Raw genomic sequence first — 27,963 nt, 5'->3', positions numbered from 1 at the left:
TTAATTTTACGTTAACTCTTTATTTTAGCTGGCTTTTTTTGACATTACTCCAGCAGAGGAGGAAAGACACCAACCCATTACTGACAGGTGCAGGTAGAAGACTAGGTTCACTCAGCCTCTGTTGGCATCTTAGTTACACTTCTCATTATGGCTGGGCAGATGTTGGCATTCTGGCTCCCCAGGTGGTCTCCACTGACACTGAGATGGGGGTTGCCTTATTACCATTGGATGATGGTAAAAGTCTAGACTCTCCGCTAGTCCTACTCTGATACCACTGAGCAGGAATGAAGAGGAGCACTTCATTACTGCCTTTTGGGGGTGCAAGTGTAGGCTTCCCACATGGTCTCCACTGATACCATGGGGGCCAGGTGGAGAGTGGACTTATTATTGACTCTCTACTTGGCCTTCTCTGACACAACCCTGGTGGGTGAGGTGCCGCATTATAGCCTCATAAGGGTGGAATCGTAGGCTCCCCACTCAGCCTTTGTTGGCATGGGTGGGGGCCAAAGCGTTTGCTGTGGTGTTTGGCTGAGTAGAGCAGTTATTGTCTGTATTAGTCTTCTCAGGCTGCTACAACAAAATATAGACTGGTGGCTTCAACAACAGACATTTATGTTTCTCAGTTTTGGAAGTTAGGGAGTCTAAGGTCAAGATGCTAACCAATTTGGTTCCTGGCAAGGGCTCTCTTTCTGGGTTGCAGATGATCAGCTTCTTACTGTGTCTTCACATGGCAGAGAGAATGATCTCTCTCCACTCCTCTTTTTTTTTTTTTCTTGATAGGGTCTCATTCTGTCTCCCAGGCTGGAGTGCAGCAGGCCACAATCTTGGCTCACTGTAACCTTCACCTCCTGTGTTCAAGCGATTCTCATGCCTCAACCTCATCCCAACGAGTAGCTGGGATTACAGACGTGCACCACCATGCCCGGCTAATTTTTGTATTTTCTGGTAGAGACGGGGTCTCACCATGTTGGCCAGGCTGGTCTTGAACTCCTGACCTCAAGTGATCTTCCCACCTCGGCCTTCCAAAGCGCTGGGATTACAGATGTGAGCCACTGCACCCAACCCCATCATTCTTCTTATAAAGCTGCTGATTCCATCATGAGGGCCTTATTCTCATTACTTCATCTAACCCTAATTATCTCCCAAAGGCCCCATCTCCAAATACAATTACACTGGGAGTTAAGGCTTCGACATGAATTTTGGGGAGACACAATGCAATCCATAGTGATGTTTAAAACTTCTCTATCTTGCTAGGCTGCCTCTTCCATGGTTCTTTGGCTAAAGACAGCAGGCTTTGGTTGGGCTTTTTCGACTACTCCTGTTGGCATTTCCAGGTTGCTACCTTTTTCAACTCCAAGTCTGGTGTATATGAGTCAAAAATAAAAACAAAGTAAGTCACTGCAATGTTGTTCTTCAGGTCCTGCAGTCCATAGACATTCTGCCCTCCTTTTCTTCCCCCCCTTTCAGAGTCTTCTCATGTTTGTTTAATATATAATATTCAGGGTTTTGGGTTGTACTTAATGGAAGGAATAGGGAAAAGTACATCTACCAGAAGGAAAGAAAATATGCTTTTTCTTTCTAGGAGAAAAAGGAAAAAGTTTGGGGTACTATATGTTTGTCTATATAGACAAATATATCATAAACCCGTTACTAGGCATTATCTACCTATTATTTGCCATTAAGAGACATTTAGGGCCAGGCACGGTGGCTGACACCTGTAATCCCAGCACTTTAGGAGGCTGCGGCAGGAGGATTGCTTGAGCCCAGGAGTTCAAGACCAATCTGGGCAACATAGACTCTATCTCTACAAAAATTTTAAAGTTAGCTGGGTGTGGTGGTGCACGCCTGTCATCCCAGCTACTCAGGAGGCTGAAGTGGAAGTATCACTTGAGCCCAGGAGTTTGAGGCTGTAGTGAGCCATGATTATGCCACTGCACTCCAGAAAAAAAAGAGAGAGACATTCATTGGCCCATACACTCTACTTGATATATTTACACACAGACACACATACACATACAAAGTATTTCTTTAAAAATAAAAATTATAGGCCAGGCGCAGTGGCTCATGCCTGTAATCCCAGCACTCTGGGAGGCAGGCAGATCACGAGGTCAGGAGATTGAGACCATCCTGAGCAACCTGGTGAAACCCTGTCTCTACTAAAAAAACAAAAATTAGTTGGGCGTGGTGGTGCGTGCCTGTAATCCCAGCTACTCAGGAGGCTGAGGCAGGAGACTCGCTTGAACCAGGGAGTTGGAGGTTGCAGTGAGCTGAGATCACACCACTGCACTCCAGCCTGGCAACAGAATGAGACTCCGTCTCAAAAAATAAATAAATAAATAAATAAATAAATAAATAATAAATAAATAAAAATTATATTCTCTCAAAAATCACCAGCAAAAAATATGTAAACAAAATGGGCTCTTCCTAATGAATTAGAACACCAAGTTCAATGAATTATATATCTTATGTGTCTTCCAAACCTCTTTTTGCAGAAAAGTAAATTAACATTACATATTTGTAAAATTCAAATTTCTTATTCTATTTGGTCTTACTGAGGCCTGAACTAAAGAGTAGTACAGGCTATCCTTGTTTGCTTTAGGCCAGTAGTTCTCAAAGTATGGTCCATGGGCCTTGATCGTATGTCCGCAAAATTAAAACTATTTTCACAATAATACTAAGATGTCTTTTGCCTTTCCTTTGTATTAAAATTTGCACTGATGTTACACAAACAATGATGTGTTTGTTGTGACGTTACACAATTTGCACTGATATTACACAAACAACAGTGTGATGTTACACAAACACTGATGGTTTAGCAGGCATCAGGGTAGTGGCACCAAACGGTCGTAGTGTGAAAGATCCAGTGGTTTAAGAGAATGGAAAGACAAGCCACATATTTTCTCTGCAGATTGGGAGAAAATATTTGCAAAACACATATCTGATAAAGAAAAAAAACATAACAAGGCAGGAGGATTTCTTGGGGCCAGAAATTTGAGACCAGTCCGGGCAACATAGTAAGACTTATCTCTACAGAAAAATTTGAAAATAAAAAATAAAATAAAATAAAAATTAGCCAGGCATGGTAGTGCACATCTATAGTCCTAGATACTCAGGAGGCCAAGGCAGAAGGATGGCTTGAGCCTAGGAGTTCACAGCTGCAGCGAGCTATGATTTCACCACTGCACTCCAGCCTGGGCAACAGAGTGAGACTGTCTCAAAAAAGAAAAGAAAACAAAAATTAAATAGCACACTTATCTGATAAAAGACCAGTATCCAATATACACAAAGAACTCTTAAAACCTTAAATCTCAGCAGTAGCAAACAACCAAATTTTAAAAATGGGCAAAAGAGTTGAAAAGCTACCTCCCCCAAGAAAATACAGATGGTAGGCTGGACATGGTGGCTCACGCCTGTAATCCCAGCACTTTGGGAGTCCAAGGCGGGCAGATCATTTGAGGTCAGAAGTCCAAGACCAGCCTGGCCAACATGGTGAAACCCTGTCTCTACTAAAAATAAAAATTAGCCCTTTGTGGTGGTGCGCACCTGTAGTCCCAGCTACTTGGGAGGCTGAGGCAGAAGAATCACTTTTACCTGGGAGGCGGAGGTTGCAGTGAGCTGAGATTGTGCCATTGCACTCCAGCCTGGGCAACAGAGTGAGACCCTGTCTCAAAAAAAAAAAAAAAAAAGAAAGAAAGAAAATACACAGATGGCAAATAAACATGAAAAGATACTCAGCATCATATGTCACTGGAGAATTGCAAATTAAAACAACAATGAGATACTACTATACTCATATTAGAATGGCTAAAATCCAAAAACCTATTAATACCTAATGCTGGCAAAGATGTGGAGCAATAGAAACTCTCATTCATTGCTAGTGGGGATGCAAAATAGTGCAGCCACTTTTGAAGACAGTTTGGCAGTTTACATTTCTTTTAAAGCTAAATGTATTCTTACCATCTGACCCAGCAATCATACTCCTAGGGTTTTACCAAAAAGAGTTGGAAACTTAGCCCACACAAAAATCTGCACACAAATGTTTATAGTAACTTTATTCATAATTGCTAAAAACTAGAAGCAACCAAGATATTTTTCAAAAGGTGAATGAATAAACTGTAGTATATTCATACAGTGGAATAGTCAGTGAGCAAAATTAATGAGCATTCAATCCACAAAAAGGAACATTAAATGCATATTGCTTAGTGAAAGAAGCCCATCTGAAAAGTCTATGTGTTGTATGATTCCAATTACAGCTGACCCTGGAACAACACAGGGGGGTAGGTGTGCAGTTGAAAATCTGAGTATAACTTTTAAGTCCCCAGTAACATAACTACTAATCGTCTTGTGTTGACCAGAAGCCCTACTGGTAACATAAGCAGTCAATTAACATGTATTTTCTAATATATATATATATATAATATACTGTATTCTTAAAATAAAGAAAAAATATTAAGAAAATCATAAGGAAAGGCCGGCTGGGGGCAGTGGCTCACACCTGGAATCCCAACGTTTTGGGAGGCCAAGGAAGGAAGATTGCTTGAAGCCAGGAGTTCAAAACCCACCTGGGCAATATGGTGAGACCCCTTCTCTACAAAAAAAAAAAAAAAAAAATTGTCCAGGTGGACTGGCACGCACCTGTAGTCCTAGCTACTCGGGAGGCTAAGGCAGGAGGATTGCTTGAGCCCAGAAGGTTGAGGCTGTAGTGAGACAAGATTGTACAATTGCACTCCGGCCTCAGCAACAGAGTTAGATCCCGTCTTTTAAAAAATAAGAAAAAAGAAAATCAAAAGGAACAGAAAATATATTTACTATTTATTAAGTGGAACTGGATCATCACAAGGTTTTTATCCTTGGCCTAGAGGGTAGTGCATACCTGCAGTCCCAGCTACTCAGGAGGCTGAGGTGGGAGAATTCCTTGAGCCCAGGAGTTTGAGGCTGCAGTGAGCTACGATCATGCCACTGCACTCCAGCCTGGGCAACATAGCAAGACTTCCACCTTAAAAAAAAATGAATAAATAAAATAAAGGTCTTTATCCTTGTCTTCACGCTGTGTAGGCTGAGAAGGAAGAGGAAGAAGAGGGTTGGTCTTGCTGTCTCAAGGGTTGCAGGGGCAGAAGAGGTAGAGGAAGTGGGAGCGGTGACAGGAGAGGCAAGCACATTCTGTGTAACTTTCATTGAAAAAAATCTTGGCCAGGTGCAGTGGCTCACGCCTATAATCCCAGCACTTTGGGAGGCCGAGATGGGCGGATCACCTGAGGTCAGGAGTTCAAGACCAGCCTGGCCAACATGGTGAAACCCCATCTCCACTAAAAATATTAGCTGGGCATGGTGGCACGCCTGTAGTCCCAGCTACTCGGGAGGCTGAGGCAGGAGAATCACTTGAACCCAGGAGGCGGAGGTTGCAGTGAGCCGAGATCACGCCACTGCACTCCAGCCTGGAGATAGAGCGAGACTCTGTCTCAACACAAAAAAAAATCTTGTGAAAGAGGACCTGTGCAGTTAAAACTCCTGCTGTTTAAAGGTCAAGTGTATATGATGTTCTAGAAAAGGCAACCTATAAAGATAGTCAAAAGATCAGTGGTTGCCAAGGGTTCAGGGGAAGAAGAGAAGGGCTGAATAGGAGGAGCACAGGGAGGGTTTAGGGCAGTAAAATTATTCTATAGGTTACTGTAATAGTGGACACATATCATTATACATTTGTCCAAACCCATGGAACTGTATATCACAAATAATTAATCCTAATGTAAACTATGAGCTTTAGTTTAATAATCATGTACAGTATTATTGATTCATCAATTGTTAACAAATGTGCCACATTAATGCATGATGTTAATATAGGAAAATGTGGCGAAAGGGGGCACATAAGAACCCTCCAAATGGTCTCATTTTCTTTAAACCTAAAATTGCTCTAAAAAAAAATAAAATCTATTAGTTTAAAAAAAAATCCACTGAAAGGATTTTAATTTCCACATTGCAACTAACCTTTAAGAAACTAACACTTAATTGCTGGGCGTGGTGGCTCACACCCATAATCCCAGCACTTTGGATTGAGGCGGGTGGATCATCTGAGGTCTGGAGTTCAAGACCAGCCTGGCCAACATGGTGAAACCTTGCCTCTGCTTTAAAAAAGCATAAAATAAAATAAAATAAAAAGAAAGAAAGAAAGGAAAAAAAAGAAAAATTAGCCAGGAGTGGTGGCGCATTCCTGTAATCCAGCTACTTGGGAGGCTGAGGCACAAGAATCACTTGAACCATTGTACTCCAGCCAGGGTGATAGAGGGAAACCCTGTCCAAAAAAAAAAAAAAAAAAAAACAGAAATGTTTATTTTGGCTGGGAGTGGTGGCTCACACCAGTAATCCCAGCACTTTGGGAGGCTGAGGCAGGTGGACCACTTGAGGTCAGGAGTTCAAGACCAGCCTGGCCAACATGGCAAAACCCCATCTCTACTAAAAATACAAAATTTATCCGGGCGTGGTGGCACACACCTGTAGTCCCAGCTACTCGGGGGGCTGAGGCAGGAGAATCACTTGAACCTGGGAGGTGGAAGTTGCAGTGACCTGAGATCCTACCACTGTACTCCAGCCTAGGTGACAGAGCAAGACTTCATCTCAAAAAAAAAAAAAACTCCACTTGTCAAGTTTTGGTCTGGGATCAAAGCAGAATATCCATAATTATTTGAAAAGGCTGTTAAAATATTCCCTTTTACAACTACATATCTGTGTAGGGGCAGGTTTTTTTCATATATTTCAACCAAAGCAACATATTACAGCAGACTGAAGAAGCAGATATGAGACTCCAGCTGTCTTCTAAAGTCAAACAGAATCCAAAACAATCTCTCTCTTCTTATTAAACTTTTTTTTTTTTGCTACAGAAAATAGTTATTTTTCATTAAAAATGGTATTTATGTTAACATATAATGATTTATTGGTTTGGGGTTTTTTCATTTGTTTGTTTTTTGAGACAGGTCTCACTCTGTTGCTCAGGCCGGATCGCAGTGGTGTGACCACAGCTCACTGCAGCCTCGACCCCCGCCAAGCTCAGGTTTTCCTCCCACCTCAGCCTCCTGAGTAGTGGGACCACAGGGGCATGCCAAGACACCCGGCTAATTTTTTTTTTGAGACCGAGTCTCGCTCTGTCGCCCAGGCTGGAGCGCAGTGGCATGATCTCTGCTCACTGCCAAGCTCCACCTCCCGGGTTCACGCCATTCTCCTGCCTCAGCCTCCTGAGTAGCTGGGACTACAGGCGCCTGCCACCATGCCCGGCTAATTTTTTGTATTTTTAGTAGAGACAGAGTTTCACCGTGTTAGCCAGGATGGTCTCGATCTCATGACCTCATGATCCACCCGCCTTGGCCTCCCAAAGTGCTGTGATTACAGGCGTGAGCCACCGTGCCCGGCCGACACCTGGCTAATTTTAAAAATTTTTTTGTAGAGACGGGATTTTGCCATGTTGCCCAGGCTGGTCTCAAATTCCTGGGCTCAAGTGATTCTCCCACCTCGGCCTCCTAAAGTGCTGGGATTACAGGAATGAGCCACCATCGTGCCTGGCCCTATTGTTATTTTTAAACGAATAAATAAATAAGCATTTTTAAATGTCTCAGCTCTAATTTCTTATGCAGTAAGTATTGATAAATATAATCACACAAACAAAAGCTCTTTGGGGTCTTCGAATAAGGGTGTTCATGAGATGCAAAAGTTTGAGAATCACTGCCCTCAGCCCATGTGGTCTGCTTAAACTTTCATTTTTAGGCTACTTTCAGGACCATTTAACAAGTGATACACTTATAGCAACTACCTCTAATAGTTACAGAGAAGCTGCCAATATTCAGAAAGTGGCCATCAGAGGTCTGGGTGTATGCAAAAAGTATGTGTGTTAAGCATATCTTTATTCAAGCGTGAATTTGGAATTTGTTCAATTTTCATTCTCCCGTTATCTTCCTTTAAAATGAAACATTCCAAAGAATATAATAAAACATGAAGGTAAATAAAAAAACACTGCAAGTCAAATTTATGGTGTGGGAACATAAGGCTTGCTATTACAGCTTTTAATGGCAGATAGTTTACAATAAACATTGGGCTTAGCCTGGTAGAAAATAGTCACAGACAGGAGGTAATTACTTGTCCATCTCCAAGCATCAGAAACTAGGGAGTCCCTCCAGTTGAATAACGCAGATCTGCCAACTGTCCCTCATTTGGACTAACGCCTTTTTTGTTGTTTTAATTAAATTGGGGGGTAGCGGGGGAAGAACAGAAGATAAACCTCCCTCTGAATGCGCTAAAATTCCATGGATGGATAAATCCATGACCCATCCTTCTACACGGTCTTTATTAGTCTTGAGTAAATCACATAGACTCCCATAAATAGAGTCACTGAGGGAGCGGAATGTATATGTGCTGGAAAAGGCTGGGTGCCAGCAAATCTGAATGTTACAGTGAGAGTTCTAGAAACAGCGAGAGAAAAGCAGCTAGATCCCCATGCAGATAACCAGGATATAAATGGACCTTTCAATGAGCCTTGCATCACCACATATGAAGTAATAAATACACCCAAACAGAGATAAAAACAGGAAGAGCAAAATTATGCATAAATTCTGTCGTTAAGATATGTGGGCAGCATGGCCCAAAATAGAAACCAAGCAGCTTTCCAGAGACTTGAAGGTTTTAGATAAAATATAATCGCTGTAATTATCATTTAATCCTGTTCCCTCAAGCTTTTGTCAGAAACTGTTACCTACCTCTGGTTATTTGGGGACAGTGGAGCTTCTCACAGAAATATACTTGAAACTGATTGTCACAAGCACACAATCTAATTAAGTTTTTTACATGTAGAAAAACGAACTGTGGCAAAAATCAAGGTTATGTATGTGTAGGGAGAATAACTAAAATACAAATGACATGCATATTTTCTGTTCATCTCTTATATGCTTCACAAATAACTTACATTTATGTTTGCTTTATAAATACTTCCAATTAAAGGGTAAATTAGCATCAACTCTTAAATCATTATCTAAGCATTCACCTGTTATTATTAATACCTTAGATTAGTTCAAATCAAGGACTCTCACTCTATGTACTTATCCAAGGGTGTTTTCTTAAAATGAAGAATGTGGGTAAGAGTAATTTTGCTTTTTATTTGCAATATCATTTCATTGGCTAAGAGGTTGCCCCAGTGCTACAATGTAAGCTTCCGTCTCATTTTGCAGTGAATGAAAACATTTTTCCTTACATAGTTGTGTATAGCAGAACTAGTATCTATCCCATGGTGATGCTAGTAAGCCTGACTCACAACTTCAAAAAGAACTTTGAAATAAATTATATGGATCTTATGAACTGTAATAATCTTTAATTTCAACTTCATTATGAAAATTTATGGCTGGGAGTCGTGGAATCGTGCCTATACTTTGGGAGGCTGAGGTGGGTGGATCACTAGAGCCCAGGAGTTCGAAACCAGCCTGGGCAGCCTGGTGAAACCCTGTCTTAAAAAAAAAAAATACAAAAATTAGCCGGGTGTGGTGGTGCATGCCTGCAGTCTCAGCTACTCGGGAGCTGAGGTGGGAGGATCACCTGAGCTTGACTGGGAAGGTCAAGGCTGCAGAGAGCCATGATCGTGTCACTGTACTCCAGCCTGGGTGACAGAGTGAGACCCTGTCTCAAAAAAAAAAAAAAAAAATCACAAGTGCCTCACCCAAAATAAATAATAAAGTGGAAAGTGAGAAAATGAGTAACATTTAAAAGGGGAACAGAGGTGGGACTTCTGAATTACTTTTCCTTCTGGTACCAGTGTTGACTGTCATCAGTTTCACAATGTCTAAGGCAAGGTAAGGACAGGTTGAGTATCCCTTATCTGAAATGCTTGGGATCAGAAGTGTTTCGAATTTCAGATATTTTTCAGATTTGGGAATATTTCTGTATACAAAATGAGCTATCTTGAGAATAGAATTAAGTCTCAACACGAAATTCATTTATGTTTCATATACACCTTATTCACATACCCTGAAGGTAATTTTATTCAATATTTTTAATGATTCTGTTCATGGAACAATGTTTTGACTGAACCCATCACATGACGTCGAGTGTGGAACGTTCCCCTAGTGGTGTCATGCTGGCGCTCAAAAAGTTTCGGATTTTGGGCCGGGCGCGGTGGCTCACGCCTGTTATCCCAGCACTTTGGGAGGCCGAGGCGGGCGGATCACGAGGCCAGGAGATCAAGACCATCCTGGCTAACACGGTGAAAACTCATCTCTGCTAAAAATACAAAAAAATTAGCCGGGCGTGGTGGCGGGCTCCTGTAGTCCCAGCTACTGAAGAGGCTGAGGCAGGAGAATGGCGTGAACCTGGGAGGCAGAGCTTGCAGTGAACTGAGATCGTGCCACTGCCCTCCAGCCTGGGCGACAGAGCAAGACTCTGTCTCAAAAAAAGAAAAAAAAAAAAAGTTTCGGATTTTGAATTTTTGGATTAGGGATGCTCAACCTACATGATGGTATTAGGCCAACATTTTAGAAACCAGTAAAACTCGATATTGAATATGATGAAGTCATATTCCTTGGTGGTGTATGTCTGTAATCCCAGCTACTCGGGAGGCTGAAATGGGAGGATGGCTTGAGCCCAGGAGGTCAAGGCTATAGTGATCTGTGTGTCACTGCCCTTCAGCCTGGGCAACAGAGCGAGACCATCTGAAAAAAAAAAAAGTCTTGGACTTATCTAAAAGATGTATTCTGAAGCCTCACAAGCAGAATATAGCTCACGAGTGGGTTTTATTTGACTCTTACAGTGTTTTTCTAAAAATCAAACTAGTTGCCAACATTCACAAAACAGGGTTTTTCACAAAAACCAAAACAAACAAAAACCCAAATTTGCGACTTCTTTGAGAAATTGGAAGGACTGGACTTGCATTGCATCCTCCCCGCATAGCTAGGAGGAGCTTGGGCCAGAGCCCCCACCTAACCCACACTACTCACATGCATTACCTGCTCTGAACTCAGATATATCTGAGTGTGAGACCCTGTTAATGGGTCACTCTGGCTTAGGCTGTGCATCAATGAGACTCATCAGACTCAAGTGTTTGCTTCTTTGGGGCCCCTCCCTGTACCCTCTAATTAAACTCTATATTCAGTATAGGGTGTCAGGTCCCAGTTGGGTCTAAAATGGGAGGCATTTACAGCCATGGTCCCGGACCAGAATCACTTCAATGTTTTCACTGATCTGAAGATTTTCTTGGCAAGTAAGGGTTCAGAGAAGTTTGTTGAAGTTTGTGTCTAAGCTAGGTTAAGCGGAGGAATGTGTCTCAATTCAAAATGAGAGCAACTCTGGGGTTAAGCAAGAGAATGACCCATGATGAAGGTATTATGGAAATGTCCTCTGTGTGAGCTGGGTAGAGAAGAATATCCGGATTCCGGGCTTCACTCTGCCTCTAACAAGCTGTAAGATGAGTCACTGACCTCAGTTAGCCCCTGTCTCTTCACCTATAAAACAAAAGGGATGTTTCTGCATTTAGAGCCCAGCCCCTACGTTAGAATCACCTAGGGGACGTCTAAAAATGTTGATACTTAGACCCCTCCCTAGGCCAGTTGAATCTGATTCCTTGCAATGAGGGTCCAGGACACAGTTAACAAGATCTCCAAGGTCCCTTCCCATCCTCTAATTCTGTGGTCTCAGTGGCTTGGGAGCAGATGCCAGAATAGCCATTAACTCTGTTAATTTCTCCTGTATGTCAGATTGCCAGCAAAGAACATTCATTTCTCACACACACACACACACACAAACACACACACACACACACACATATAGAGGTGTGGTCATTGTTTTTCATTTTCTTTCTTTTTCTTTTTAATTTTTGAGACAATGTTTTACTCTGTTGTCCTGGCTGGAGTATAGTGGCGCAATCAGAGCTCACTGCAGCCTCACCCTCTCAGACTCAAGCTATCCTCCCGTCTCAGCCTCCCAAGTAGCTGGAACCATCTCTACTAAAAGTACAAAAATTAGCTGGGCATGGTAGCACACACCTGTAATCCCAGCTACTTGAGAGGCTGAGGCAGGAGAATTGCTTTAGCCTGGGAGGTAGAGGTTGCAGTGAGCTGAGATCGTGCCACTGCACTCCAGCCTGGGTGGCAAGACTCTGTCTCAAAAAAAAAAAAAAAAAGTGTTGGCCGGGCGTGGTGGCTCAAGCCTGTAATCCTAGCACTTTGGGAGGCCAGGACAGGTGGATTGCCCAAGCTCAGGAGTTCGAGACCAGCCTGGGCAACATGGTGAAACTCTGTCTCTACTAAAATACAAAAAATCAGCCGGGCATGGTAGCGGGTGCCTGTAATCCCAGCTACTTGGGAGGCTGAGGTAGAATTGCTTGAACCCAGGAGGCAGAGGTTGCAGTGAGCCAAGATCATGCCACTGCACTCCAACCTGGGTGACAGAGCAAGACTCTGTCTCCATTAAAAAAAAAAAAATGTTTTAATTAGCTGAGCAAGGTGGCATGCACCTGTAGTCCAGAGGCTGAGGCAGGAGGACTGCTTGATCCTAGGAGTCCCAGACCAGCCTGGGCAACCTAGCGAGACCCCATCTCTACAATAAATAAAAATAAAAATAAATCACTGGGTGTGGTGGTGCACAGGCCTGTAGTCCCAACTATTCAAGAGGCTAAGGTGGGAGGATGGCTTGAGCCCAGGAGTTCAAGGTTGACTGAGCCATGATTGCATCACAGTACTCTAGCCTGGGCAACAGAGTGAGGCTCTGATTCTAAAAATAAAAAATATTCATTACATGTTGAAACGACAATGTTTCAATTTAGTGGGTTTAGTAAAATATGTTATTAAAATGAATTTCACCCATTTCCTTTTACTTTTCTGAATATTATTCCTAGGAAATTTGAAATTACTTATATGACTCATATTTCTATTAGATAGTGCTAAAAGGTGTCCACTTTCTGAACCTCTTTTTTTTTTTTTTGAGACAGAGTCTTGCTCTGTCACCCAGGCTGGAGTGCAGTGGTGTAATCTCGGCTCACCGTGAGCTCTGCTTCCTGGGTGATTCAAGTGATTCTCATGCCTTCCAAGTAGCTGGAATTACAGGCGAGCACCACCCCATGCCCAGCTAATTTTTGTACTTTTGGTAGATACAGGGTGTCGCCATGTTGGCCAGGCTGGCCTTGAATTCCCGACTTCAAGTGATCTGCCTGCCTTGGCCTCCCAAAGTGCTGGGGTTACAGGCATAAGCCTCTGTGCCTGGCCTCTGAACCTTTAATTGAAGACTGTAGTTTGTTGTTCGCTTGTTTGTTTGTTTTTTTAGACAGCTTCTCATAATGAACTAAGTTGAAGGTCTGAAAAACATCCAATTGCCAGTCTTTACTGCACAGGGCACTGACTGTAACTATACAACCCTGATGGTTGGGGAAACAAATGTGGTACTTTCTGTGAATATGACAATTTTGTACACTGAAATATGGTCCATGGGAGAATCCTAGTGGAACGCTATGACTGGGAATAAGGTGGAGGTTCCTGGTCAGTTCCCCCTGCTTTCTATCTCACATTAGAGGTAGAATTTCAATGTATGTGCCACACCAGTTCTGCCCTCATGCAGTAAACATACGAGTGGTAAACCATGAACCAAAATAGTGAGTGCATTTAAAAGAGACATTTAAACGTCCAGTCCCATTCACTGCAACTTTGTTTTACTTTTGCTTTCTTTCTTGCTCTGTCACCCAGGCTGGAGTGTGTGGCACCATCTCGGCTTACTGCAACCTCCTGGGCTCAAGTGATTGTCCTGCCTCTGCCTCCCAAGTAGCTGGGATTACAGGCATGCACCACCATTCCCAGCTAATTTCTGTATTTTTAGTAGAGACAGGGTTTCGCCATGTTGGCCAGGCTGGTCTTGAATCCTGACCTCAAGTGATCCGCCCGCCTTGACCTCCCAAAGTCCTGGGATTACAGGCATGAGCCACTGTGCCTGGCCGCAACTTTGTTTTTCATCACTGGTCTCTCCCAGGCTTCAAAGCAGTTGTTGCTGTAGTCTTGTGGCATTTCTAGCCAAAAGGTCTGAGACTAGCAGTTATCGGCCCTCATCCTGCCTTATCATATAGCCACAATAGTGGGCAGGGAAGGGAAAACATGTAAGGCTGGGCGCTTGGAAGTAGGGCCAGCTTAAAGTACAGAAAAAGTGGGCAACCATCCAGAAAATGTGCACTCGGGTGTAGGAGCCTCCAACATACTATGAAGCTCTCCTGCTGAGCTGGCAAAAGCTCTTTTAGCTTGAGGCTTCCAGGTACATGTGCCCAGGTGTACCCTGTATGAGCCATTTATACCGTAGTGCGAATACTTTTCAGATCAATTTGATTCAATAAATATTGATTATGCATAGCTGCCCTAAGCAGATTTTGAAAAGGCTGTTGGGAGCTTCCTTCCAGACAGGGAGGGAAAGGGCGCAGACAGGAAGGCTGGGAGAGTTGACAACAAACGTCATCTAGCTCAAGGTCTAGCCAGTGTTTGGTGCTGCTGAGAAATGCTTCCTCTCAGAGGGAACTGACGCGCCAGCACCCACCACTGAATGGGGCCTCCAGCAATTCTTGGAGGCCTTTCACCATCCCTCACCGTGAGAACCTTCCTTTTCCTCTCCTTCATCTCCCCTGTGCCCCCACCACCACCCAGGCCCACATCTACCTCTATCGTAGAGCTTACTCTATGGCCTTGTTTACTTTCCTACCTCCCCGCTAGCACAAAGACCGAATATTATTCCTCTGTGAATCCGCAGAACCTCGAACAGTACTTAGCACTTAAGTGCTTGATCAGCGTTTGATGAATGAATACATGATTTTGCCTTCCCACCTCATGCAGCACGAGGAGGGGGATGCTAAGAGAGCCTAGCATCCCCACCACCATGGCATTTGGGGTGAAGGAGGTTGCAAACACCTGCATCAAACTGTGCCAGCATTTTTCAACGCTGGACACAACATTTTGAAACAAAGGTGAAGGGGAAGAGGCATAGGACAGGTCAGGGCATGCGGTATTACCACCCATGTGCACACATACCCATTCATATGCTGCCAAAATGTTGCTCTACCCTTTCCCAAGCACCCCTGTTACTGTTTAACCCAACCTCAGTAGCCTTCTAAGAGAAAGACCATTATAATGACTTGATCTGCATTAAAATAAAAAACAAAGTATGTCAAAACTTTTTCCCACAATCATAGGGCTATCACACTTTTTAACAAACTAAACCTCCACCATATCCCAGCGTTCGATATACTGCAAGTAAGTGCCTGGCACTCAGAAAGCTCAAGGTTCCAGCAACAGTTGTGTGGCCTTGGATAAGGAACACAGGGAGACTCTTTGTCCTCTTGTTTCTTCAGTGTATTAAAGGGAGATAGTGGTATATTCAAAGGGCATGAAAAAAGCTTAACATGAGTCTGCATGGAGCTCTTTGAAATGCATGAAGGGCACTACAGTGGATAAATTCAACACTTGTCCTAGTGTTCACTCAGAACCCTTGTCCGGACATTTATAAAATCCCTCTGTGGACATGTACACACACACACACACACACACACACACACACACACACACACACGCGCATGCATGCACGCACGCACATACACAAATATATCTAAAAGTGCTTAATTGTTTTTAAAATGTTTAAGTAAATACATTGTAATGATTATAAGGCCTCTGTACAATGTATCTAAGGCAAGCCTGCCAGGATAAGAGCTATTTGAGAAACTAAATCACATCATTGAAAGAATAGCAATGAGGCAATTGATGAAATATTGCATTAGCAGTGGCCTCTGACCCCATGTAATGCCAACCAAATGCTTTTTCCTCTCTTTGTAATTTAATCATTTTTCAATTAAATTAATTTCTTAAAATCACTCAGATAAGCCGCCTGTATTAAACACACACACGCACAAACACACACACAACTTCAGGTGTAGGTGAAATAAAGGACACTCTGCAATCACAATCACTGTGTTGTGATTCTGCTCCATTCTGGAAATGAATGATATCCTGTTTCCTTTTTTCTATATCTGACGAGAATTTTGCATAACTTCTTCCTGCTACAGTGTGAAGTCAAAGGCCCCCAAATACCCCCCAAGACAGAGACCCAGTCGCCACAATATAAAATTATGAAAGTACAGCCATAAGAGGCCCATAGCATGTTTGCTGGACAGACTGACTGGTTATTTTTAAAAGTTTACTTTAATACAAATGAACTGGCTGGGAAGGTGGCTTTGTAAAGGGAGCAACTCAGAAGAGTGCTAACAAGCCCGCCCCGCACGTCTGTGCTCAGGCTTGCTGGGAGAGCTTACTCCACACACATCCAGGAATTTGTTTGAGGACAGAGCGTGGTTAGGTCATGTTTTAAGAATGTTCTCTCATTATCCTGACTCAGAGGGCGCCGTGAGCCACAGAAGGGACGTTGCACAGTGATACCTTCTGTTCTGTCTGGTTTTCAAGAACTGCCTCACTGTACTGATGGCTGGAGACTGATGTCGCTCGAGGTTAACTCCTTCACGTCTTCTTTTTTACAGGGCTACAGGAAGAGCCCTTTTTCCTGTTGACATTTTTCAAACTTTGTAACCTAGGGGTTAGGCTTGTTAAGGGAGGGGAGGAGAGTGTCTAGGAGCAGTGACTGGAAACAGAGAAGAGACTACATGGAAGCAGAAGAGAGAACCAATTGAAAAGTCTGTAAAACCAGCCAAGAAATCTGTTCGGGAAAATAGAAACCTAAGAGCTGTGGTTTGGCAAGGAACTTTGACTCTTAATGAGAAAGGCAGAGAGAAGAGAAGGAGAGGAAGGATGGAGAGGGGAGGGGAAAGGAGAGAAGAGGAAGGACAGGCGGAGATCAAAAGAGAAAGAAAAGAGAGGGGAGTAAAAGGAGCAAGACCCAGGATGCAACAAAGAGGGACATCAGTAAGGGACATTATGAGGATTGCATTGGAACAAGAGGCTGGAAGTTAAAAATCAGGATATGCGGCCGGGTGCGGTGGCTCACACCTGTAATCCCAGCACTTTGGGAGGCCGAGACGGGCAGATCACCTGAGGTCAGCAGCCTGACAAATATGATGAAACCCTGTCTCTACTAAAAATACAAAAATTAGCCAGGCATGGTGGCATGCACCTGTAATCCCAGCTACTTGGGAGGCTGAGGCAGGGAGAATCACCTGAATCCGGGAGGCGGAGGTTGCAGTGAGCCAGATCGCGCCCGTTGCACTCCAGCCTGGGCGACAAGAGCAAAACTCAGCATCAGAAAAAAAAAAATCAGGCTATGCTACCCAACATGGAACATCTGGTCATGTGTGTGTCCCAGAACTGGGGAAAATTTCTTTGATAATTCATATTTGATCATGTCTCATGCTGATGGACAAGCTCATGCTTGAGTGACATTTTGATGTTTCATCAAAGGCTGTAGTAGGGATCACGAGGTCATAACTACCAATTCTAGTGGGGAACCTTCTCATGGGTCTCTACAATATGCTCCAGACGATATATCAGATGCACACACACACGCGCATATACGTGCATGCACATACGTACGCACAGAGGAATGCACATACACTTTAAAGCCATTCCATGGCTTTCCATTGTGCTTAGAATAAAACCTGACTCCAACTCTCACAACCTCACCAGGCTTCCCTCACAATAGTCTTCCAGCCACACCTTAAGCTTTCTTGAATCCCCTGAGCTTTCTCTCACCTTACAATCATCTCAGTCCTGTTTTCTCCACCCCCGGAGGCTGGCTTCTCTTCATCCTTCAGGTCTCACACAGAGAGGTCATCTTTGACCACCTGTGTAAATAGGGTCTCCCTGCTCCTCCCAATATTCTCTGTTGTGGCACTCTATTAGTGTCCTGGCACTCATTAGCATTTGTCAGTCAGTGTTTATTTATTTTTTAAATTTTTTTAATTTTTAATTTTTGTGGGTACATATTAGGTATATATATTTATGGGGTACGTGAAATGTTTTGACACAGGCATGCGATGTGTAATAATCACATCATGGAGAATGGCAAATCCAGCCCCTCAAGCATTTATCCCTTGTGTTACAAACAATCTAGTTATACTCTTTCAGTTATTTTTATTTATTTATTTATTTATTTGAGACGGAGTCTTGCTCTGTCTCCCAGGCTGGAGTGCAGTGACGCGATCTCGGCTCACTGCAAGCTTCGCCTCCCGGGTTCATGCCATTCTCCTGCCTCAGCCTCCTGAGTAGCTGGGACTACAGGCACCCACCATCACGCCCAGCTAATTTTTTGTATTTTTAGTAGAGACAGGTTTTCACCGTGTTAGCCAGGATGGTCTCGATCTCCTGACCTCGTGATCCACCTGTCTCGGCCTCCCAAAGTGCTGGGATTATAGGCATAAGCCACCATGCCCGGCCCTTTTTTAGTTATTTTAAAATGTACAATTAAGTTATTATTAATTGACAAGTTATTATAGTCACCTTGTTGTGCTATCAGATGGTAGGTCTTATTCCTTCTATTTTTTGTACCCATTAACATGATCCTCCTTCCTTCCACCCCCTCCCCACTATCCTTCCCAGCCTCTGGTAACCATCCTTCTACACTTAATGTACATGAGTTTAATTGTTTTGATTTTTAGATCCCACAAATACGTGAGAACATGCAATGTTTGTCTTTCTGTGCCTGGCTTATTTCACCTAACATGATCTCCAGTTCCATCCATGTTGCTGAAAATGACAGAATCTTATTCTTTTTTTATGGCTGAATAGCACTCCGTTGTGTATATGTACCACATTTTCTTTATTTATTCATCTGTTGATAGACACTTAGACTGCTTCCAAATCTTAGCTTTGTCAGAGGCCTGGCACAGTGGCTCACACCTGTAATTCCAACACTTCGGGAGGCCGAGGCAGGTGGATCCCTAGAGGCCAGGAGTTCGAGACCAGCCTAGCCAACATGGTGAAACCCCGCGTCTACTAAAAATACAAAAATTAGCCAAGTGTGGTGCTGGGTGCCTGTAGTCCCAGGTACAGGAGGCTAGGGCACGAGAATTGCTTGAACCCAGGAGGCGGAGGTTGCAGTGAGCCGAGATTGTGCCACTGCACTCCAGCCTGGGTGACAGAGTAAGGCTCTGTCTCAAAACAAAACAAAACAAAATCCTAGCTATTGTGAACAGTGGTGCAATAAACATGGAGTGCACATATCTCTTCAATATACTGATTTCCTTTCTTTTGGATATATACCCAGCAGTGGGATTGCTGGATCATATGTCCTATTTTTAGTTTTTTGAGGAACCTCCAAACTGTTCTCCACAGTGGTTATACTAATTTACATTCCCACCAACAGTGTATGGGGGTCCCCTTTTCTCTACTAAAAATACAAAATTAGCTGGGCATAGTGGCGCATGCCTGTAATCCCAGCTACTTGGGAGGCTAAGGCAGAAGAATTGCTTGAACCCGGGAGGCGGAGGTTGCAGTGAGCCAAGATCGCACCATTGCATTCCAGCCTGGGCAACAGAGCAAGACTGTCTCAAAACAAAAACAAAAACAAAAACAAAATGTTGTGGAGTAGCGTCCACTTCCTGAAGGTTCAGAAGTTGCTCAGTGCTTATGTTCCTCTGCCCTCTTGATGAGATGGATTTTTTTTTTTTTGGCTCGAGTGTTTATCTGTCCAGAAGCATATTTAATGTTCATGTGGGATTCTTGACACTGACATCGCTTTCTGAAGCCTGAGTCTTGCCCACGGCTCGATGATCAGTCCACAAATCAAACTCTTGGCCAAATATGCACAGCTCGAGTTTATCCAGAGTCCAAACAAATCAGATACTCCTTCTGGACAGAAGTCAAATTCTTCCTTTTGGTAAGAATTTTTCAGAAATGCAAAAAAGCAGTATGTTTTATGTTCTCAAAGTTCCTATAATCACATCCAATCTTGTATCAGATGCATTAACGGCCATAATGGTTTGAAAAGTCTGAAGCTTCCAAAACAGATAAATAAATCAAAGCCCATTTGAACTTTTGAGTAATATTTCAGTACTATAGGATCCAAAAACTTTAATGAGTTTGCCCCCTCTTTGTAAAACAGCACAATAGATCAGCTACAGTTACAAGTGAGGAAAATTCTAAGGGATCTCCCAGAGGACATGCTTTTTTTAAAAAATTGTAATTAATTATAGGGAATTTGCCAGTCTCTAATGGAGTCTACTTCATTCTACAAAAGAACTGGATCTCAAATATCTGCCCTATGAAAGCCCAACAGACATTACTAAATTTCACACAGTTCATGGATGGCTGCAAGCCCTAAACTGGATACGCTCTCAGTTTCATGAAATTAGATGATCTCTAACAAAAATCAGAGATGCGATCATAAAATGTCACTTTCTGAAATTCAGCATAAAAAGTAATCAATATAAAATTAACCACAAAGGTATCAGTAGCATTTTAAAGAAGTAACAGCTTTTATTTATTTATTATTATTATTTTTTGAGACAGAGTCTCACTCTGTCTCCCAGGCTGGAGTGCAATGGCACAATCTCGGCTCACTGCCACCCCCACCTCCCGAATTCAAGCAATTCTCCCTGCCTCAGCCTCCCAGGTAGCTGAGACTATAGGCTCCCGCCACCACACCCAGCTAATTTTTGTATTTTTAGTAGAAACAGGGTTTCTCTATGTTGGCCAGGCTGGCCTTGAACTCCTGAACTCAAATGATCCACCCGCCTCGGCCTCCCAAAGTGCTGGGATTACAGGTGTGAGCCACTGTGCCCGGCCAAAGTAACAGCTTTTAGAGATGCTTTATAAATGCATGGGTGATGTACTTTAGGGTGTCTCATCTCAGCAAGGAGAATGAAATCTATGTACATGATGTAAGCAATAATGATAGCTACCGTTTGTTGAGCAGCTACTGTGTCAGGCACAATGCCAGAAACTTTACATACACTATTTCATTAATCCTCATGACAATCCATTGAGAAGGCTCTGATTATTTCCACTTTTAACTACAGGGATCTCGAAATTCAAAGGGTGATGAGAATTGTTCGCTATGATACAACAAATCCCACTGCTAGGATTTTAACCTAGGTCTTCTCAACTCCAAACTATGCTGTTAATGGCATAAGAGAAATGGTCCCTTGAAGTTCAGCAAAACGGCAGTTACCTGAGAGAAAGATGTGGTAAAAGTCTCCAAAAACTTTGACATAAATAATCCAAATCAGTCATCCAGACTGAAATGTCCTTTGAGGGGAGGAAGGTCATTCGTTAAGGCCTCGTCAATCTGCTAGATGTATCCCTTAAGAACAGGCCGAGTGCAGTGGCTGACACCTGTAATCCTAGCACTTTGTGAGGCCGAGGTGGGGGGATCACCTGAGGTCAGGAGTTCGAGACCAGCCTGGCCGACATGGTGAAGCCCCGTCTCTACTAAAAATACAAAAATTAGCCAGGCATGCTAATTACAGGGCAGGCACCTGTAATCCCAGCTACTTGGGAAGCTGAGGCAGGAGAATTGCTTGAACCCGGGTTGGAGGTTGCAGTGAGCTGAGATGGCGCCATTGTACTCCAGCCTGGGCTAAAGAGCAAGAGTCTGTTTCGGGGAAAAAAAAAAAAAAAAAAAGGACATTCAATTCCCTTTAATGTAATTTAATATTCACCAAATCTTCAGATCTTTAATTTGATCTCCTAGGAATGCCTTTCCACCAGGAGGAAGTACCTCAAGCATATGACCAGGGTCAGCCTGCCAGCTTCATTCTCTGAGATAAAATAATAACTTGGTCAGGTGGATAACAAATGGTCTCTTCTGAGTGGGGTTATTAAGAATCAATTTCTAAAGAGGTCAGTTCTGAATTAAATAAAGTGAATTTTCTGATCCTACAAATCAAGGACCAAATCCTGGGTCTTCAATAACCTCCATCGGAATATGTACATATTTGTGTGTGTGTGTGTGTGTGTCTGTGTGTACTAATTCTTCCAGTCTGTGAACATGGGATGTCTTTGGACATCTCACAGGACATCCCATGTTTATAGACTAGAAGAGTTAATATTGTGAAAATGACCATATTACCAAAAGTGATCTATAGAATCAATGCAATTGCTATCAAAACACCAATGACATTCCTCACAGAAATAGAAAAAACAATACTAAAATTCATATGGAACTACAAAAGACCCCAACAGCCAAAGCAAACCTGTGCAAAAAGAACAAAGCTGGAGGCATCACACTACCTGACTTCAAAATATACTTCAAGGCTATAGTAACCAAAGCACATGGTACTGGCATAAAAAGAGACACATAGACCAACGGAATAGAACAGAAAACCCAGAAATAAATCTACATATTTACAGCCAACTGATTTTCAACAAAGGTACCAAGAATATACATTGTGGAAAGGACAGTCTCTTCAATAAATGGTGCTAGAAAAACTGGTTACTTACATGCAGAAGAATGAAACTAGAGCCCTACCTCACACCATATACAAAAATAAACTCAAGATGGATTAAAGACTTAAGTATAAGACCTGAAGCTGTGAAACTACTAGAAGAAAACATAGAGGAAACACTTGAAGCCATTGGTCTTGGCAAAGATTTTATGAATATGCCTCAAAAGCACAGGCAACAAAAATAAGAATAGACAAATGGGATTATATCAAACTAAAAACGTTCTGTGCAGCAAACGAAACAATCAGCAGGGTGAAGATACAATCTGAAGAATGAGAGAAAATACCTGCAAACTATTCATCTGACAAGGAATTAATACTCAGAATATACTAGGAATTCAAACAACAGCCATATATATATATATATATATATATATATATATATATATATATATATACACACACACACATTTAAGTTGGATATATATATATATATACACACACACATTTAAGTTGGATATATATATATATACACACACACATTTAAGTTGGAGATATATCTCCAACTTAAAAATGGGCAAATGAGCTGAATAGCCATCTCTGATGACATAAAAATGGCCAACAGGTATATAAAAAGTCCTCAACATCACTATTATCAAAGAAATGCAAATCAAAACCACAATGAAATATTATCTCTCCCTATTTAGAATGGCTATTATTGGGCTGGGTGTGGTGGCTCATGCCTGTAATCCCAGCATTTTGGGAGGCCTAGGCGACAGGATCGCTTGAGCTGAGGATTCTCAGACAAGCCTGGGCAATACAGGGAGACCACATCTCTAAAAAAAAAAAAAAAAAAAAAAATTAGGCAGGCATGGTGATGCACGTGTGTTCCCAGCTATTTGGGAGGCTGAAGTGGGAGGATGACTTGAGCCTGGGGGGTGGAGGTTGCAGTGGGCTGAGATCGTACCACTGCACTCCAGCCTGGGCAACAAAGCAAGACCCTGTCAAAAAAAATCATAAGGAAGAGAAAATATATTTACTATTCATTAAGTGGAGGTGGATCATCATAAAAGCCTTCATCCTCATTGTCTTTATGCTGAGCAGGCTGAGGAGGAGGACGAAAAGGAGGAGTGGGTCTTGCTGCCTCAGGGGTGGCAGAGGTGGAAGAAAACCAATGTATAAGTAGACCTGGGCAGTTCAAATTCATGCTGTTTAAGGGCCAACTGTATGTACATAATCCAGAAGGCTCACCTTGAAAGCCTACCAAGCTCTCTAACCATCTGATGACATCAATAAAGGATGACTTTTAATGAGTGACACTGAGAGATTATCACATTGCATACCCACAGTCTGGCCAAATACAGCTACAAGATGAATGCAGAATGTCACAGCGGCCCCTGGTATACCCAATAAGTCATTAGCCAGTTTTGAAAATGAATCAGGGAAAGCCCCTGCACAATGGCATGCTGGAGGAGAACCCATGGAGCTCTAAAGGACTCACATGTCCACAGTTCCCTTCTCAGGAAAGCTATTCCTAGAGATTCTTTTTGCAAACAAACTGCCGCAGTTCATGCTGTGTGCATGGATGAAGGCAACACCACACTGGCCTCAATGATGAGAACAGGAACCCATTAGTCATGGCGAGATCCCATGACCAAGGCAAAAATGACCAAGTTTAAGTTGTATCTGAGGGAGGCCATCTGCTTCTGAAGTCACTTGGCATAAAACTCTATGCCCAATAGGAGAGCTTCTGAATAGTTAGTTACAAAGAGACTCTTTTAGTTAGACTCTCTCTCTCTCTTAGGAAGAGAAAATATTAGGCAGATAGAGGGTGGGGTGCTCCAGCTCAAGTGAGTAGCTGGGCCAGGTGTCCATGAAGCTGTTGGATATCCCTGTCTCAAAAACCTTGGGAGACTTAGAATGTATGCCTATTCCTCTGCACAGCTTACTCTTTGCATTAAATATTTCCCTCAAAAGTGTTATTTCTGAAACTTAATACACAGTCTACTTTTGAAACTTTATACTTGAAGTTGTTCTTTGCAGAACTCTTAGATATAATTAAAGAACTTTTTCATGCTTGCTATGGTCTGAATGCTTAGGTCCTTCCAAAATTCATGTTGACTCTTAATTCCCATTGTAGTGGTATTAAGAGGCGGGCCATTTGGGAGGTGACTAGGTCATGAGGACTTCACCATGATGAATGGTATTAGGGCCCTTATAAAAGAGGCTTGAGGGAGTTTGTCCCTTCCACCATATGAGGATGCAAAGGGAAGATGCTATATACAAAACACAGTGAGCCCTCACCAGACACCAAATCTGCAGATGACCTGATCTTGGACTTCCCAGCCTCCAGAACTGTAAGCAATACACTTCTGTTGTTTACAAATTAGCTAGTCTAAGGTATTTTGTTAGATCAGCAGGAGGGAGCATTAGAATCTACCATCCACTTAAGTCTTAAGTTTTTTTGTTTACTTATTCATCTCTACCAGGAACATTGTGCAGGAAATAATGAAGAGTAGGATCCTTTCCCCAACCAGGAGAAGTTTTTCTTCTTCATTTTAATATTTCTCCTCCTAAGGACTTTGCTTTTTAATGCCAGAACTAATCTTATTTGTAATTTACATGCCTAGCTTAAATTTACTCATTAAACACTAAAGTTGGAGTTGCTCTATAGCTTTTTATGAGCTGACCTTGGGCACTATTACCCTCTTTCAAAGGCACCATGATTTTTTCATATAACTTAATTTTCAAGAACACTTGACATGTGGAAGAGTTTAAAGCTGAGATATGAAGTGACTTCTCCAGACCTTGTTATTTAAAAATCTTTAGGCTGGGCACAGTGGCTCACACCTATAATCCCAGCACTTTGTGGGGGCCGAAGAGGGTGGATCACCTGATGTCAGGAGTTTGAGACTGGCCTGGTCAACCTGGCAAAACTCTGTATCTACTAAAAATACAAAAATTAGCTGGGCATGGTGGCACGTGCTTGTAGTCCCAGCTACTCAGGAGGCTGAGGCAGGAGAATCGCTTGAACCTGGGATGCGGCAGTTACAGTGAGCCAAGATCGCGCTATAACACTCCAGCCTGGGTGACAGACTCTGGCTCAAAAAAAAAAAAAATTAAAAAATTAAAAATAAATAAAAATCTTTAAATATTTACGGTTAACATTCACATGCAATAAAATCTTAAGTTATGCCTTATAAAGCAAAGCTACCAATTATTGAGTGCTATGTGCCAAGCATGATGTGAAATGCTTTGCTTGTCCTCTCTCATTTAATTCCCACAGCAAGCTTTTGAGATAGATAGTATTATTTTAATAGATCTTGTCTGGGTACAGGAAGTACCAAGGTGCTTTTCTTAGTAGTGGGCAACATCAAGTTACTGGAGATGGAAAGCCCTGTTTTTGAACCCTGGTTCTGGTACTTACCATATGTTCTGGTCATGTCCCTTACCTTCAACAAGGTGAGAACCTGGGCTTCAACTTCCTCCTCTGTTATTTTTATTTGAGGTGGGTCCTCGCGCCAACAGAACAAGCTCCCTACCTATCATTTCACTATTATAGTTTCAACCCAGTGTGCGCATCCAAACTTTTTTTTTTTTTTTTGAGACAGAGTTTCTTGTCGCCCAGGCTGGAGTGCAACCTCCGCCTCCTGGGTTCAAGCAATTCTCCTGCCTCAGCTTCCTGAGTAGCTGGGTTTACAGGTGGCTGCCAGCACACCTGGCTAATTTTTGTATTTCTAGTTGAGATGGGGTTTCACCATGTTGGCCAGGCTGGTCTCAAAACTCCTGACCTCAGGTGATCCCCCTGCCTCGGCCTCCCAAAGTGCTGGGATTACAAGCGTGAGCCACCATGCCTGGCCCAAAGCATATCCTTTTGAAAGGCAAAAACCATGAGGCAAGTTCTTAGGTTACATCCTTATCAGTTAATACTTCAATTATCAGTTAATGCTTTACTAAGGAATACTTGATAATCAGCTGAGAACAAGAACAGAATATGGACTGGGCTACTAGAGATGAAAAGATCCTAGGGTCTGCTGGAGGACCAGCGAAGTTCAGATGGGAAAGTGCCCAGTGGAAAGACTTCAGCTAAGTACATTTGTCTAGACTCTGCCCAGCTCATGATATGTCTTTGAAGCTGGTGTGAAGGCAAGGAAAAATGTTCAGTGTGTAACACATAGTCCCATCTGGCTGAAGTATGAGTGAAGAAGTGATGAAGGGGAAAAACCAAGAAAGGAAACTGTGGGGGAGGGCACAGGGAAAGTCATAGTGACGAGTTTGGACTTCATTCCACAGGCGGTGAGGAACCTTTCAGGGCTTTTTAAGCAGGGGGCCAGCAACATTAGATGTAGGCTGCTTATAGGATGGGGGAAATGGTGAAGATAGGGTGTGGAGGACAGGCGCCCAGGGTGTGACCAGGAGGCCCTCAGAATAATCCATGGAGCCCAAAACTAGGTCATGGAGCCCAAAACTAGAGTGATAAGAATAGAAAGAAGAATGTGACGCTGCCAAGGACTTGGCACCAACTGAATGGGGGGAAGGGGAGGTGTTGAGAAGACGGTCAAACCACAGACACCTAGGGATTCCGGGCACTGATGAAAGTTCCAAGAATTTCTATTCTTCCTTTACCTTACTCTCCACTCAATCAAAAATACCCTAACTTGACATCAGTTGACAAGTTGAGAGCCTAAATATGCAAAGTAAATAGGGGAGTCATCTTTGCCCATGAGAACCACAGACAGACATCAACCCGGCAAAGCCGGGCAAGGTGGCTCATGCCTGTAATCCCAGCACTTTCGGAGGCCCAGGCGGGCGGATCACTTGAGGTCAGGAGTTCGAGACCAGCCTGGCCAACATGGAGAAACCCCGTCTCTACTTAAAAAAAAAAAAAAAATACAAAAACTAGCCGGGTGTGGTGGCGCATGCCTGTAATCCCAGCTACTCGGACGGCTGAAGCATGAAAATCGCTTGAGCCCCGGAGGCAGAGGTTGCAGTGAGCCAAGATCGTGCCACTGCACTGTCCAGCCTGAGCTACAGAGCAAGACTCTGTCTAAAAAAAAAAAAAAGAAAGAAAGAAAAAAAAGAAAAGAAAAGAAAAGAAAAAGAAAGAAATCAACCTGGCACAGAGAAGGTGAGGGTAGTAGCGGTTCTGGTGCCCTGGCTCCAAAGCTGTAGGGCCTGGTCTAGGCCTCTAAGCACCTCTCTCCTTGGAAAGGGGGTGAAGACGACTGATTACGAAGAGGCCTGGGCTCTAATGTCGGTTCTGCCACTGACTGGGTGCCTGGCTTCATCGCTTATTTCTTCTTTTTCGTGTTGGACCAGAGCATTCCAGATGTCCTCTGCAGAGGTCGAACTCCAGGACTGCAGTATCTTTTCCTCTTCGCATGTACCGCTTTTCACATTCCCTGATTCCATTAAAAATATTTTCCTCTCTCGTTTTCTAATCTCATTTTTTATGAAGCACAGCACCCTTTCAGGGAAGGGAGCAGAGGCCTGGATATCTGGGTCTGGGCTTGGGCACCCAGACAAAGCCAACCGCCTCCTCCTTGGGCATCTCTTCTCTGCCCACCAGCGTGGCTCTGACTCCCCGACTGCAGCCCGCCTCGTTCCCACGGCAACCGGCGGGCGCCCACGACTGGCTTGGGACCCCGGGGCCACAG

The 27,963-nt window shown here is 43.1% G+C and overlaps 1 long non-coding RNA gene across 1 annotated transcript, besides 1 other annotated feature; it reads right to left on the bottom strand.

Moving 5' to 3' along the window:
* Nucleotides 1-27,870, bottom strand: MARCHF10-DT (MARCHF10 divergent transcript). The gene is made up of 2 exons (NR_135634.1): nucleotides 27,421-27,870; nucleotides 1-1,359 (listed from the first exon to the last, which is right to left on the bottom strand). It is a non-coding gene; the product is annotated as an MARCHF10 divergent transcript (long non-coding RNA).
* Nucleotides 10,491-11,227: an enhancer, noted in NCBI's record as "H3K27ac-H3K4me1 hESC enhancer chr17:60902506-60903242 (GRCh37/hg19 assembly coordinates)". NCBI's record gives its function as "activates a minimal SCP1, AML or CMV promoter by ChIP-STARR-seq in naive H9 embryonic stem cells {active_cell/tissue: H9 hESC(naive)}" and the evidence as "EXISTENCE:reporter gene assay evidence [ECO:0000049][PMID:30033119]".

Source organism: Homo sapiens, chromosome 17 (genome assembly GCF_000001405.40).
Source record: "Homo sapiens chromosome 17, GRCh38.p14 Primary Assembly".
Lineage (NCBI taxonomy): Eukaryota > Metazoa > Chordata > Mammalia > Primates > Hominidae > Homo > Homo sapiens.
The sequence above is the reverse complement of the archived record's forward strand: the minus strand, read 5'-3'. Positions and strand labels throughout refer to the sequence as shown.